Source organism: Homo sapiens, chromosome 1, assembly GCF_000001405.40.
Source record: "Homo sapiens chromosome 1, GRCh38.p14 Primary Assembly".
Taxonomy (NCBI): Eukaryota; Metazoa; Chordata; class Mammalia; order Primates; family Hominidae; genus Homo; species Homo sapiens.
The window spans coordinates 93,641,332-93,655,415 of NC_000001.11; the positions used below are offsets into that span (position 1 = coordinate 93,641,332).

Consider the following 14,084-nt stretch of genomic DNA (forward strand, 5'->3'; position numbering starts at 1 on the left):
CTACATACTCTGAAACTAGGATGCTGCTGCCTTTGGGATAGCGAAGGTGGAATGAGACTCCTGATTCTAAACTCTAACTCTTGCTACGATTTCTCCCAAAAAATAAGTATGTTGTCATAAATCCAAGAAACCAAATGTGAGAATCAGACTTCTTTCTTCTGTAGGAGGTGACAGAATACAGTTTCAAAAATAAAAGAAAATAAAGCAAACAGCAACACTGGAAAATGCGGAGGCAGAGGGAAGAAGTGAAAAGCATCTTTTCTTCCTGCTCCGAAGAAATACATTATTTAGAAGGGTTGAATACTTAGAAGCATTGACCGCCAGTCCGGCTGGAAAGTAACTAAGTACCTAATATTACTACTTGGCCCCAGATTAGCCCTGAACAAGAGGGTGGCTGTTGGAATGGAAAAGATGACTCATAAAATCTCAGGGAGCCTTCGGTCCTCCACTGAAGGTAAATATGGGTCCACAATTCCTCATCTACATTCCAAAATCCAAAAAACTCTGAACACTAACATTAAAAAAACCTTACTTGGCAGCAAACTCATTTGGTGGCAAAATGTGACCTGAACTACACAAAATCATTTGTCATCTATTTATCCCTCTTAGTGTGAATATTCTTACTTGTCACTGTGAAAATAATGAGTGTGATTATGGAGTGCTGACCCCAAACCTCTCTGGGAGTATTACTATACGTACCATATTACCTTTCTGGAAAACAAACAAACAAACTCTGAATTTTAAAACACACCTGGCTCTAAGGCCAGATAAGGGTACCTGTAATAGGATGACGTGAGACCCCTACAAAATTTACCAAAGGCCTAAGGGAGTCAAATTTCCTCCCTGTTGTTTTGGAGAGTCTAATCAGCTTTTTACACAAACCAGGCTGCAGCATTATTTAGCAACTCTGTGTTCCAAATGGGAAATCTACTACCCAGGGTCACGGCTACATGTTTAATTCTCATTTCCTACCTTCACATATTCCACAGTTGGGTCCAGAAGATGTGGATCCCTGAAAAGAGAAAATATAAATATGAGAATGGTTGGGAACGATGCATTCTTACATTGAGTATAATGTGTCCAACATTATTTCACCCTATTCACTAAGTTACTAAGCTGGGCCCCATCTCCCAGGCAGTATTCACAACAGGGTGTGTGTGGTGGGGTGGGAGATACCACCATGACCTCAGTCTAGAAGCTCCCACATGCTTTCCTGTCAAATTCAGGCCCCAGAATGTTAGAGTATTTACATGTGGTAATTCTAGATTTACTTGAGCATAGAAAGTGAAAGTCTGAAGCATAGAGCTCAGGGGAGGGCAGAGGTGGGAGACAGGCAGGACTGGGTACGGGAACGTGTGGCACTTTCGGTCACTGGTGGTGTCTGGGTTAATCCCCAGAACGTCCCCACCAGTAACTGTGTTGTGCCCACATTGACAGTAAGAAGAGAGAGGCTTAGGTGGGTGGAGGGGCTGCCCCAGGTTGCCCAGTGCCTGGGTGATGGAGGGAACGGAGCCTTCTCTTCTCATCGCTGGCTGTTACCCACCCACTCCTGGTGAAAATCTCAGCAATTCATCCTACTGTTCTGTGTGCCCAGTGTTTTTATTCCCCCATATGGGCCAGGTGTGGTGGCTCATGCCTGTAATCCCAGCACTTTGGGAGGCCAAGGCGGGAGGATCAAGGCAGGTGGGGAGTTCGAGACCAGCCCGACCAGCATGGAGAAACCCCGTCTCTACTAAAAATACAAAATTAGCTGGGTGTGGTGGCGCATGTCTGTAATCCCAGCTACTAGGGACGGTGAGGCAGGAGAATCGCTTGAACCCAGGAGGCAGAGGTTGCGGCGAGCCAAGATCACACCATTGCACTCCAGCCTGGGCAACAAGAGTGAAACTCCATCTCAAAAAAAAAAAAGAGGCCAGGCGTGGTGGCTCATGCTTGCAATCCCAGCATTTTGGGGGGGCCGAGGCAGGCGGATCATTTGAGGTCAGGAGTTGGAGACAAGCATGACCAACATGGTGAAACCCCGTCTCTACTATACTAAAAACACAAAAAAAACCAAAAACAAAAAATAGCTGGGCGTAGTGGTGAGTGCTTGTAGTCCCAGCTACTTGGGAGGCTGAGGCAGGAGAATTGCTTGAACCCAGGAGGCGGAGGTTGCAATGAGCCAAGATCACGCCATCGCACTCCAGTCTGGGTGACAGAACAAGACTCTTTCTCAAAAAAAAAAAAAAAAAAAAAAAAAAAAAGAAATTTTTTTAAAAATACAGAGAGAGAATAAAACAGTAGTTATGGGGATGGGGGCAGAAGGCAGAGGAAATGGGGAGATGTAGGTCAAAGGATAAAAAGCAGCAGATACGTAGGATGAACAAGCATAGAGCTCTAATGGACAACATGAGGACTATAGGTAATACAATTGTACTGTATATGGGATTCATGCTGAGTAGATTTCAACTGATCTTGCCACAAAAACAAAAAAGTGGATAACTATGTGAGATGATGAATATGTTAATTTGCTTCAACTTTAGTAACCTTTTAAATATTGCATGTATTCCATAGCATCATGTTGTATATCTTGGATACATACTGAGGACTAAGCTCAGATTTTTTAATCTTGTCCAAATTCCTATCTAAGGGGTCTGGAGAGTCATGCCCTACAAACCATAAATTCTCATCAGATGGGTTTTATTTAACCCTATATATCGTGACTTACTTTCCAATCTGACTCTGGCATAACATGTGACAAGAAAGTCAAAATATTTTACCCCAAAACATGTTTCTTTGCCATATTTTGGAATGGCCCTGCAAAACTGTCCTTTGTGGGGGAAAATTTGCATCTGTAAAGAATCTCTAGTAACATAGCTAAATCTTTTTCTTCCAGGCCCTCCCAATCCTAAAGAAATTAACTAAAAGTCTAGCACCTTTTAAAGACTGGAACAGGAAACATTTGTCATCTGTTGTCTCTAAGGACAGCCACTATAAGACTTCAAAGGAACCTTGGTCTCCACAATCTTTTATCTTAACCTGAACATTTCCTTTCTATCAATCCCCAGTCTTTAGACAAACTCAACCAATTGTCAACCAGAAAATGTTTAAATTCACCTACAGCCTGGAAGCCCCTGCTTTGAGTTGTCCCACCTTTCTGGACCAAATCAATGTATTTCTTAAAAGTATTTGATTGACGGATGGCTCATGCCTCCCTAAAATGTATAAAACCAAGCTGCGCCCCAACCACCAGGGGCACATTCTTTCAAGACCTCCTGAGGGCTGTGTCACAGGCCACGGTCACTCATATTTGGCTCAGAATAAATCTCTTCAAATATTTTACAGAGTTTGACTCTTTTCATTGACAATAATTTGATGCCCAAACATGTGGGGCCTCAGAGAAGACTCAGGACCCTGAAGGAGTTGCCCAAAACTGGAGCTAAGGTACCAGCCAGGGCCCATTGAAGCCTCACCCAGTTTGAGCTTCTCCTCTGGTGGAACTGGTAAGTCCTCCTGAGCTCTGGACCTCCTGTTTTGGTTGATGGTCCTTAATTTATTCTTGAGCTGATTTTTCTCCTAGGAAGTTGTTGTTTAAGAATCCTAATTCCAGTTCGAAGGTGCATTCTAAAGGGTCTCCTCTATTGCTTTTTCTCTCAGAATTAATCTCAATTTGGCTTGACTGTGCATATTTGCGTGAGAAACTGAACTGTTGTTTTCATAGGTAAATGAGAGACTGAGTTTTTTCAGCTCTGAAGAGAAAGGGCATTTGCTCCTCCCAGCCAAAAAGCGCCCATGGGTGACTGGGGGCCTCGTGGGAGTGTCTAGGGGGTTGGCCCCCCACAATGTGCAGCAACCCTGCAGGGAAATCCTCAGTGCAAATTAATTTTTAAAATGGCTCATCCAGGACACATATCCATCCACCACACAAAAATCCTAGGCCAGAGCTCAGTTCCTCCTTTCAAGGGGGAAAAAAAAAAATGTGAGAAAGAAATACTCTAAAAATAAGGAGAAAATAAGGAGAATGATCCCCTTTTGAGTACTCTGTAGGTTTTATGGCACCTCTACTTCCCAGAGTTTATGTAAAATAGAAGTAATATGGTCTTTGTGCACATTTACATTAAGGAAAAAGAACCCTAGGGTCGACCTGCAAACTATAGAGTTCCTAAATTCTCTTTTTCTGTCTTCCTTTCTGCCTACTTTAAATCTGCTGTTACTTTTCCACTGAGATAAAAACCACTGTTTGGATCTAACAGTTTTTTTTTTCTTGCAAGCCAGTGAATTTATACTTATTTCATGGCTAAAGTACTAAAGTAAAGCTACAGGATCTTTGTGTGTGTGTGTGTGTGTATATATATGTATCCATGTATATTTAAAAGGCCATTATAGACTATATATGCATTTTATGATATGCATATATTATACATTATATATACATGATATATAAATATATAATTTTATAATATTTATGTTTAATTGGCAGCTAAATTTATTTTAATTTCCCTCTAGCACACCAAACTTTTTCTCCCTGTAGCTTATAATGTAAATTTTGCTATCGGATCTTCACCTAAGTTCTTTCCTTTCATATGAAAATTTAGGACTATTTAGCTGAGAACTGCCTAGAGTGATGCAACATGTTATTAAGAATTTTTAACTAGAAAAAAGGAAAAAGGAAGTCTTTATGAATCTATAAAATGTATTTCTATCAGCATGCCTAAATACCTCTATGTATTTATACATTGTGTAAACAGTGTTTCACTACTAAAAATATATAAAGAGCTCTAATTAATTGGCTTAAAAAATATATAAAAGCACTTAATCAGATACTTAAAAGACTAGTCAAATGCTTTTAGACATAACCCTATAAAGTTTGAATTAGACAAAGATATTTTACCTTTAATGAGAACATTAAAAATAAAATGTTTTCCTGTAATTCTTAAATTGGAAATTACCCAGATACCCATGACTTAAGTAAAATCTTTAATAAATAAGGTGGCTTTAAAATTATTGGTAGGCTGGTCACGGTGACTCACGCCTGTAATCCCAGCACTTTGGGAGGCCGGGGCATGTGGATCACCTGAGGTCGGGAGTTCAAGACCAGCCTGACCAACATGGAGAAACCCTGTCTCTACTAAAAATACAAAATTAGCCTGGCATGGTGGCACGTGCCTGTAATCCCAGCTACTTGGGAGGGTGAGGCAGGAGAATCACTTGAATCTGGGAGGCAGAGGTTGCGGCGAGCTGAGATGGCGCCACTGCACTCCAGCCTGGGCAACAAGAGCAAAACTCCGTCTCAAAAAAAAAAAAAAAAAAATTATTGGTAAAATACTAGCAATGTTTATCCCTGCAGAATACTATAACATTTGCCATGAGGGTTATCAACTATAAAACCCAGCCCAAGACAGAATAATCTTTGCTTGTGTATACCTATGAAATATTGTTGGCTTAATGAAAATAACTAAATGCTGAGTTATTGGAATAAATAACCTTAAAATTAAGCATAAGTTTTATTACTTAAGTAAATACCTGAAATTCACAGCTATAAAAATAGTTAAAAGGAAAATAACTTTAAATATTAGCTATCACAGTTTTTGTTAATAGTCTAGGTAAACTATTACATTAATCAGATAAATGTAATGGAATAAATGCTTACAAACAAACTTGTCATAATTTAGAATCTAAGGTTATTATTTGATATTAAGTATCTGGGTAATTTCTGATTTAAGAATTACAGGAAAACATTTTCTTTTTAATGTTCTTATTAAAGGTAAAATATCTTTGTCTAACTCAAACCTCATAGAGTTATGTCTAAAACAAGGTAAAGGAATCAGGAAATAAGAGATGAAAAGAAAGTTAAAGATTTAAAGAGGTATTTTTGGTAAAGAAGGTAAAAAGGAAAGTAATTTTATAAGAATGATTCTTGTGTGGTGAATTTTTGCTCTAAACATGAATGCCCCTCCCACAGAATCATAGGACTGTTTAAGAAGCCTAATCAAATTTGCTGTCTTAGAGATGCACCTCCTTGCTGGGAACCCAAATCCTTTTCACCAGAAAAGGTAAAATGTTCTAGGGGTAAAAAAGAGTTCCTGAGACCAGAACATAAAAACATACAGGTTAACAGAAGTATAAAATTTAAGATGTTTAAACAAGCTTTATTTAAATTAAAGCCAAATAAAATTTACAAATCAGCTCCTCAGTTACACTAGTGGCTAGCAGCTAGCATGACCCAATTATAGAATATTTCCAACACTGCAAAAAGTTCTACGGGACAGTGATATTCTAGAGAAAACACTTCTTCTAAATAGAAGGACACTCTGCTTCCAAAGAGACCCTCACTTTGCTGCTCTTGGTTATGACTTAGTAACTAAAGTACCAAAGGAGATTTGAAGCGCTCTCACGTATAAGGTAGCCCCAAACAATGGCATCTGAGACCAGCTGTACGATAAAGTTCCTATGTATTGTTTTCTTGAAATATGTTTTTTTTTTTCGAGTCTTGCTCTTGTCGCCCAGGCTAGAGTGCAATGGTGTGATCTTGGCTCACTGCAACCTCTGCCTCCCGGGTTCAAGCGATTCTCCTGACTTAGCCTCCTGAGTAGCTGGGATCGCAGGCATGCACCACCACACCTGGCTAATTTTTGTATTTTTAGTAGAGATGGGGATTTCACCATGTTGGCCAGGCTGGTCTTGAACTCCTGACCTCAACTGATCCGCCCACCTCGGCCTCCCAAAGTGCTGGGATTACAGATGTGAGCCACCGCGCCTGGGTCCATCTTTTCTTTTTCACTTAAAATTCTGAAATATCTGGGTGCCAGTGGACTATCTCTACATGAGGAAAGTAACATGGGTCAATCAAACACGACATAGCATTGGATGAATGACTCAAATTAGGGAAAATTTTATTAAAGCCATCCAAAGCCATTCCCTTGAAATGTCTGCAATAAAAGCAGGGCTTATGAGGTGAGGGTTGTAGTTCTGCTTTAGTGAGAGGCATAATGGGATGGAGGAGAGAGGTGCTATGTGTAGAGGTAAATGGTTTGATCTTGGTAAATGGTAAAAGTACCAAAAGCTACTCTTGGTAAATGGAAATTACACATTAAAAATGAAAAGGGATGGTCTTCAACGAGGTTTGACTGAAATAGAGACCCAAAAGGAGACTCGTTAAAAATTAAGGTCTTAAATGAATGACATTAGGATAATTAAGAAAAAGAAAGAATAAAATAGAGAATTTTTCGTTAACTGGCTAAAGAGGTTTGAGGTTTGTCTTCCCAGCTTCTCTCCTAAAATCTCTAACATTAACTATCATCAGTCAGTGCTTGCTTATATTTCCTCCTACTTGTGATTAAACCTTCCTAATTCATAACAGTACTCCAGTGTCCTGACAGCAAAACTGAGGACCAGCTATTTGGAAACCCCAAGTTACCTGAGGAGCCTCATTTTCCTCTTCTGTCTGAGGCCCGCCATCACTCCAGCCAAGACGGCCTCTCCCAGCCAGTGGGTCTTGGTCCAACCTCCTCCAGGAAGCCCTCCCTGAGGTACCTTCCCTCAGCCTGGCTCCTGGCTGCAGCTTCCCTGGTCTGCACCACTCCTGCAGGCTGCCCTGTGTCATTAGCTGTCATTCCCCCTGCTTGGACCTAACTTCCACAGTGAGACTGACTGCTCTCACTGACTGTTCCCTGCTTTAGAGGGCAGGGAACTCTTCTTGAATACCAGCTCCAGCTTCAAGGAACCAGAGAAGAAAAATTAAGATGCATAAGAAAGCTCTAGTAACTAGGATAAGAAGACTGAGAACAAGGAGAGCCAACTGCTGGAAGCAAAGGGCCCTGGGCTAAGGGAAGACACAGATTGCTCAGCAACTCCTAGTTTCCTTCTCTTCTGCCAAGAGAAGTGTGTTATGGTGGAGGGCCAAACAGGAGCACAGGGGAGTTCACCCAGGGGTGGGTTGGGGGACATCTTGAGTGCTGGGTCTGCACAGACAAGCAAGGCTATGGGGACAGCACAGGACACCTTGTCTTGAGGTGGTTCCATCTTTGTGTGGGGACACTGCTAACTGCAGCCAGTGCTGCCCCAGAAACCACCCACACACAGCACCTGGCTTGGCCAACTCTGGTTATCCACCTCTTTCCCAAGAGCTTGAGGTTTAGCCAAAGAGAACTAGCTTAGGAAGTGTGGTGAGTGTTCACATGCCTCTCTAGAGAAAGGGAAAAAAAGATTGTTTCAGCTTTCAAAAGGTGAAAGGAAAAAAAAAATCATGTAGCTGGGAAAAAAAAAAGGCAAAAGGAAAAGGGTTTTACAAATAAATCTGGTAAAAACAGCAGGTCCTAGGCAAAATTTAACCAGAATGACTTGTTCAGCACCTAAAAAAAAGAGTTACAGTCACAAATCTGACTATATTGCCTTTTGTGATATGACGAATAGACCAGCAGATCTAACGAATGCTATAATTAAATCATATCTGGATTTCAACAAGGAAGTTGAGGAAGTCATGACATTGCTATGACCAAACAATTTATAAGACCCCAAGTTATCTAGTATTCCGTAAGGTAGATTTGTTTGAACTCAACAGCCAGCACTCTACCCACTCTACCCGCAACCAAAAAAAAGCCCAACAACAAACCACTGATTATCTAGAAAGGTCCTTATAAGTGGACAGAAGTGTTCCATCCAAGCCTCCATTCCATTCATACTATTATGATCCCTTAAACGAGAACTCTGATGGCACAGTGATCAAATTCATTAATCAAGAAAAAAAAAAAAGAAGCCTAGGAGGGTGCGATGGCTCACACCTGTAATGTGTGCGAGTAAGGGTGTGATGGCTCACACCTGGCTCAACACTTTGGGAGGCCGAGGCAGGCAGATCACTTGAGGTCACGAGTTCGAGACCAGCCTGGCCAACATGGTGAAACCTAGTCTCTACTAAAAATACAAAAATTAGCTGGGCGTGGTGGCAAGCGCCTGTAATCCCAGCTATTTGGAAGCCTGAGGCAGGAGAATGACTTGAGCCCAGGAGGCAGAGGTTGCAGTGAGCCGAAATTATGCCATTGCACACCAACCTGGGCAACAGAGCAAGACTCTGTCTCAAAAAAGAAAACCAGAAGGGCTAGTTCATGTAACAGTCACTCCAGCTGAGTGATAATGAACACAGGCTATAAAGCCAGACTACCTGGTTTCAAATACTGCCTCTATCACTTACTACTGTGTGAATCTCAACACAGTTCACCATGTGACCACAACCTCTCTATGCCTCAGTTGTGTCATCTATAAAATGGGAATAATAGTACTTGTATCATAGGATAGTTGTGGAGACAGAGCAAAGGTGAAATTTATCAAAATACTTAAAACAGCACCTGGCATTAGTAAGTAATATGTGGGCATATATTAAGTGTTATAAGTGTGACCTGTGTATTAAATCACATTAATAAGGTCTTCCCCTCTCCCCAAAAAATTCGGTGATGGGCAAAACCTAACCCGATGAAACAGAACAGGAATAAAATTTGAACTTCTAATTTAAAAATTCCACTTGTGCAAGTAGAAGATGGGAAAGATGTGAAATCTGATTGACCAAGTTTAATTGTGAAATAGCAGGATACAGTTATCATAGATGCCAGTGGGATGTTAGGCTACATTGACAGAAGATTAAAAACCATGAATGAAAGGAGGTAGGAGCCATTTGTCAGAGCACATCTGGAATATTCACTTATACCCTAAAAGTAAATAAAACAGGAATAAATAGAACACTGGCTCCCCAGGACAGGTCCAGAAAACCAGCAACCAGGTAGAGAGAGAAGGTACTGAAGCCACATAACATGGGAAGAACCAAAAGGAAGAGGAACATTTAGCTTGGGTGAGAGTGGGCTTGGGGAGAAGGTAGACACAGGCTGCTTGTCAGTAACAGCTTAGGACTTCTGTATGGAAGAAGGAGCAAATATTCCGTTTAGGCACAGCCAGAGGGACCTACGGGGAGGAAGATTTTCACCTCACTTAAGGAAGTACTTTCCAAAAACTACACCATCTGAAAATGGGATGAACTGCCTTCCAAGATGGGTGTGAAGGTCCATGGTCATCTGGCAGATGGGAAGCTGGATGGTCCTCTGTCCAGACTGTTGGAAAAAGCTAGCATGTGAGAGCAGAGACTGTATCTATCTTAGGAAACAAGAAAACATTTATTGAGCATTTACTTTGTGCTAGTGATTTACATAAATTAGAAGATTTAATTTTTATAATCCTGTGAAGAAAGGGGTACTATCCTCAACTTACAGACCACAAAACAGAGGAGACTCAGCTAGGAAGAGGAGTCTGAGGTTTGAACCAGATGTGGACTACATTAGACTGTATGTCCTGGTACAATGGCCAGCAAGTTAGAGGCTCTCAGGAGTAATGGTTAAAGAAGTCGATTAGATGTACAGTTGACCATTCAACACTGAGGCTACAAAAAGGCACAGAGAAGTTGCCAGGTAACTCTCCCACTCTGGCCTTACCCCTACCCTACACTCCCTTCCCCTCCCCCTTTTATAAAAGGGAAGCCAAGAGAAGCGGCATCACATTTAGGATGCCTCCCAAGCCCGTGTCAGCACTGATCTCATCAGGCCTGTGGAAGCATCCACACCGGGTTCCCCATGTCAACATGTTAGCCCATGCGGCCACACACAGACAAACCAGCGGTGCTCTCTGGCAGTGAGGCCAAAAAAAGTTAGGCAAACTACCCAGAGAACTTCTGAGGGGGTATTTGGCACTTCCCATGAAATTATTCTGCTTTTCTTCATCTAAAACGCCTTGAGAGCCGAGAAAAGGATAAGACTAAAGTTCCCTCTTAGTGCTGCTCCCAGGTGAACCCAGCAAGGCCTGCTACGGGAGCCTTGTTCATTCTGTTCTGAAAGCAAACAGGAGTTCAAGTGTTCTCAGATTCTAGTTACAGGGCTCCAAGGGGTCCTGGATCTGCTTATTCTCCTCACCCTTTTTAGAGAAGCATGGGAAAGAATACAAGGACAGTATCATAAAACCAAGTTAATGCATTACAAATCCAAAAGCTTTAAAAAATCTGAACCAAATTAAAATTATATTTAAATGCAGAAATGCTGTGTCTACTTCTTTCCCAGCCAGCCACCCAATCGCTGCTAACCAAAAAGAAGACATTCTCCACACCCAGACACCCTTTCCAGGGAGCTAGAAAACATCACAGTTGGCCCTATAGACCGAGCCTCTAATTGGAAATAGAATATCCAATTATTTACACAAGACTGTACAGCAAACAGTTCTTGCACCACAGATTTCTATTCTCTAAGACAGATCACTAGAAAACAAACAGAGAAACTTGGCGATATAAATGAAAAGGTTTTTTTTTTTTATAATTTTTTTTGGCTTATGCCAATTATGAGTCCTCACCCTGTGATTCCATGGTGGGTGCATCTCTACTTGCAACGGAGGGTCTGGCAGGCACCTCGGCCCCTCCTGGCAGGCACGCTGCCCCACTGTGAATGGCCAACAGGGAAGCCAGCAGGGTGAAACTGGACTCCCTCATTATTTTGCTTTTAAGCTTATGAAGTTTTAAATAACATCACTGTGTCTACTCTGGTTAAATCATTCTTTCCAGCATCCCACTTTTTAAAGTTCAAACTTTAGAAATGTTTAGTTGAGTCGCAGAAATGATATTCTTACTATTTTAGTTTGTTTCTCATTAGTAACCAGATTGACAATTTCCTCCCTCTTAAAAGGACACTTGATCTGTAAGTGTTTGTTATTTTGAATTAAGAGGTCCTACTCTTCAGCAAAATTTCACTAGTACAGACCTTCTTTTCCAAGTAGTTGAAATACAGATAGGGAAGGAAGGTTACTTGTCAGTCTTAAGTTATAGAATGTTTTAAATGAATGACTGTTTACTTCTTTAATTATTGAATAAATTAATGGCTAAGAGTATTGCCAAACAAATGTTTTTAGATATAACAAAATGGAATTGTTTGCAATACTATCAATATTTCATGCAATGGAGGAATGTGAAAAGCTAGCGCCAACTACTGCAGACTGAGTAGGATAAAGGCTCCCTTTAAGCTCCACGCACACTAGCAATCTGTAGAGGTGGCACACCTCCTGTGTGCACTTGGCATGGTGTCTGTATTCCAGTTCACTGTATTGTATATTTTTTTATATATGCTCTTTCCCTCTACAGGGTGAGCTTTCCAACAGTCGTAACATGTCTACTTTACGCCCAGTCATCTCCCATAGTTCTTGTATTCAGCCCACAAACATCATCAAGCATCTATAATATGCCATGCACTAGGCTAGACAATGGAAACACAGGAACCAAACACAAAGCCCCTGACTCCAGAGAGGTTACAGCACAGGGCGGAAGACAGCTTAACAGACCCAACAAAGCTCAGGTTGGCGAGAAGGTGCCAGTGGGTGGGAAACACTGTGGAGAGGCCTCCAGGCAGCATCTGAGCTAGGTTTGGAGCACTCAGTGGGGACTTGTTTCAGTGAAGAAGCCCCACATGGGGTAGGTGGTGATGCGAAATGCTCCAGGCAACAGGAGAAGCATGTGCAAAGATATAGGGACACAAGGCAACATGGTACATTTGGGGGACTGCAAGCTGTTCAGGAGTCAATGCCACCTGAGCGCAGGCCACCATCATCTCCCGCTGGACACCTGCAATACCTTCTGCATCTCGCCAGCTCCACAATTTGCTCTCTACCCAGAGCCACGATGGTCCTTACTCAGGCTGCTCCCACCTCATCAGAACAAAACCCTCAAGTCCTCACCATGCCCTATGAGCCTGGTTGGCCTGACCCCAGCCACCAGTCCAACTTCATGGTGGCAGGCAGAATTCCTAAGACAGCCCCCCAAAATTCCTATCCCCTAGCTACTCAGTCAAAAATTAGTCTGGTGTTTAGATTAGTGCTGCTGCACAGGGATTTTGTAGATGGAATTAAGGGCTGAAGTCAGTTGATGTTACGAGACAGTGATCACCCAGGTGGGCCTGACATGAAGTATGACGGGGATCTGATGTGAGGGACCCTGCCGCTGGTGCAGTGTTATGAGAAGGCCTATGGCACAGAACTGCAAGTGGTCTCCAGGAGATGGGAGCTGCCCTCACCACCGACAGCCAGGAAACAGAGACTTCAGTCCTACAACCGCAAGGAACTGAATTCTGCCAATAACCTGAATGAGTGTGGGAGCAGATTCTTCCCCAGAGCTGACATCCTAAGTGGGACACCCTGAACTGAGACCTCAGCTGAGCTAAGCCAGACTTCTGACCTACAGAAACCGTGAGGTAATGAATGGGTATGAAGTCGCCAAGTTTTTGTTACACAGCAAAGAAAAATGAACATGCTCATTGTCTATTCCACTCTTCCATCTCAGTCACATACTGACTTTTTCTTCCTGTTGCTCAGACATGCCAAGCCTGCCTCTGCTTCAGTGCCTTGGTACTGACTACTCTTTTGCCCAGAATATTCATCCCCAGATACTCAGGGGCTTGCTCCCTCCCACCATTCAGGTCTCTGTTCACACACCACCTCCTCCGAGAGACCTTCCTTACCTAGCCTATTTAGATTTGCCCCACCACTCCCCTCTATCTGCTAATCTGGCTTTATTTTTTTCCATCATACCTGATATTATAGTAAATGTCTGTTTGCTCAGGGTCTATCTTTCCCCTGGAATACAACCCTCCAAGGGTGAGGCTTTGTCCAGTTTACTCACCTTGGTACCCTCAGTGCTTTGCACATGGCAGTTGCCCAGTGAGCATTTGCTGGATTCTTGAGTAAGAGAACAATAAACCTAAGCGCAGCGTTCGGGGCAGCAGCAGGAACAGTAAGGGGCTGGGAGCTGAGGCTGGAGAGGAGGCAGGGCCAGGTCACAAGGGGCTTGGATGCCACACAAACATGCTTAGACTTTATCATGATAGCAATGGGATTTATTGAAGGATCTTAAGCTGGAAAATAACCAGAGATTTGTGTTTTTGAAAAGTCCCCCTGCAGCAGCATGGAAATCAGATTAGCTGGAGGGCAAGATAGACTCAGAAAGCCCAAAGAAGAGGATGTTGGCATCATCTGGATGAGAGATGATGATGAGACTTGAACTAGAGTGTGGGAGGTGGGGGGATGGTGTACAGATTTAA

The 14,084-nt window shown here is 42.4% G+C and overlaps 1 protein-coding gene across 29 annotated transcripts in view, besides 2 other annotated features; it reads right to left on the reverse strand.

Moving 5' to 3' along the window:
• BCAR3 (BCAR3 adaptor protein, NSP family member) overlaps positions 1–14,084 on the reverse strand; it is a 286,411-nt gene that overhangs the window by 79,591 nt on the left and 192,736 nt on the right. For 27 of the 29 annotated variants that reach the window (NR_178024.1, NR_178023.1, NM_001261408.2 and 24 more), the window contains one exon: positions 973–1,012. The exons of 1 other annotated variant lie outside the window; for it this stretch is intronic. Coding sequence is in view for 22 of the 28 variants with exons in the window: in NM_001261408.2 (NP_001248337.1) it covers positions 973–1,012 (40 nt within the window). In the remaining 6 variants the exon portion in view is untranslated. Of the gene's footprint in view, positions 1–972; positions 1,013–5,145; positions 5,269–14,084 lie in introns of all 29 variants that reach the window. One more of the 29 variants, NM_001412060.1, reaches the window with a different exon arrangement.
• Positions 1,186–1,235: an enhancer, noted in NCBI's record as "active region_1333". NCBI's record gives its function as "activates an Ori minimal core promoter by ATAC-STARR-seq in GM12878 lymphoblastoid cells {active_cell/tissue: GM12878}" and the evidence as "EXISTENCE:reporter gene assay evidence [ECO:0000049][PMID:35858748]".
• Positions 2,720–3,441: an enhancer, noted in NCBI's record as "NANOG-H3K27ac-H3K4me1 hESC enhancer chr1:94109607-94110328 (GRCh37/hg19 assembly coordinates)". NCBI's record gives its function as "activates a minimal SCP1, AML or CMV promoter by ChIP-STARR-seq in primed H9 embryonic stem cells {active_cell/tissue: H9 hESC(primed)}" and the evidence as "EXISTENCE:reporter gene assay evidence [ECO:0000049][PMID:30033119]".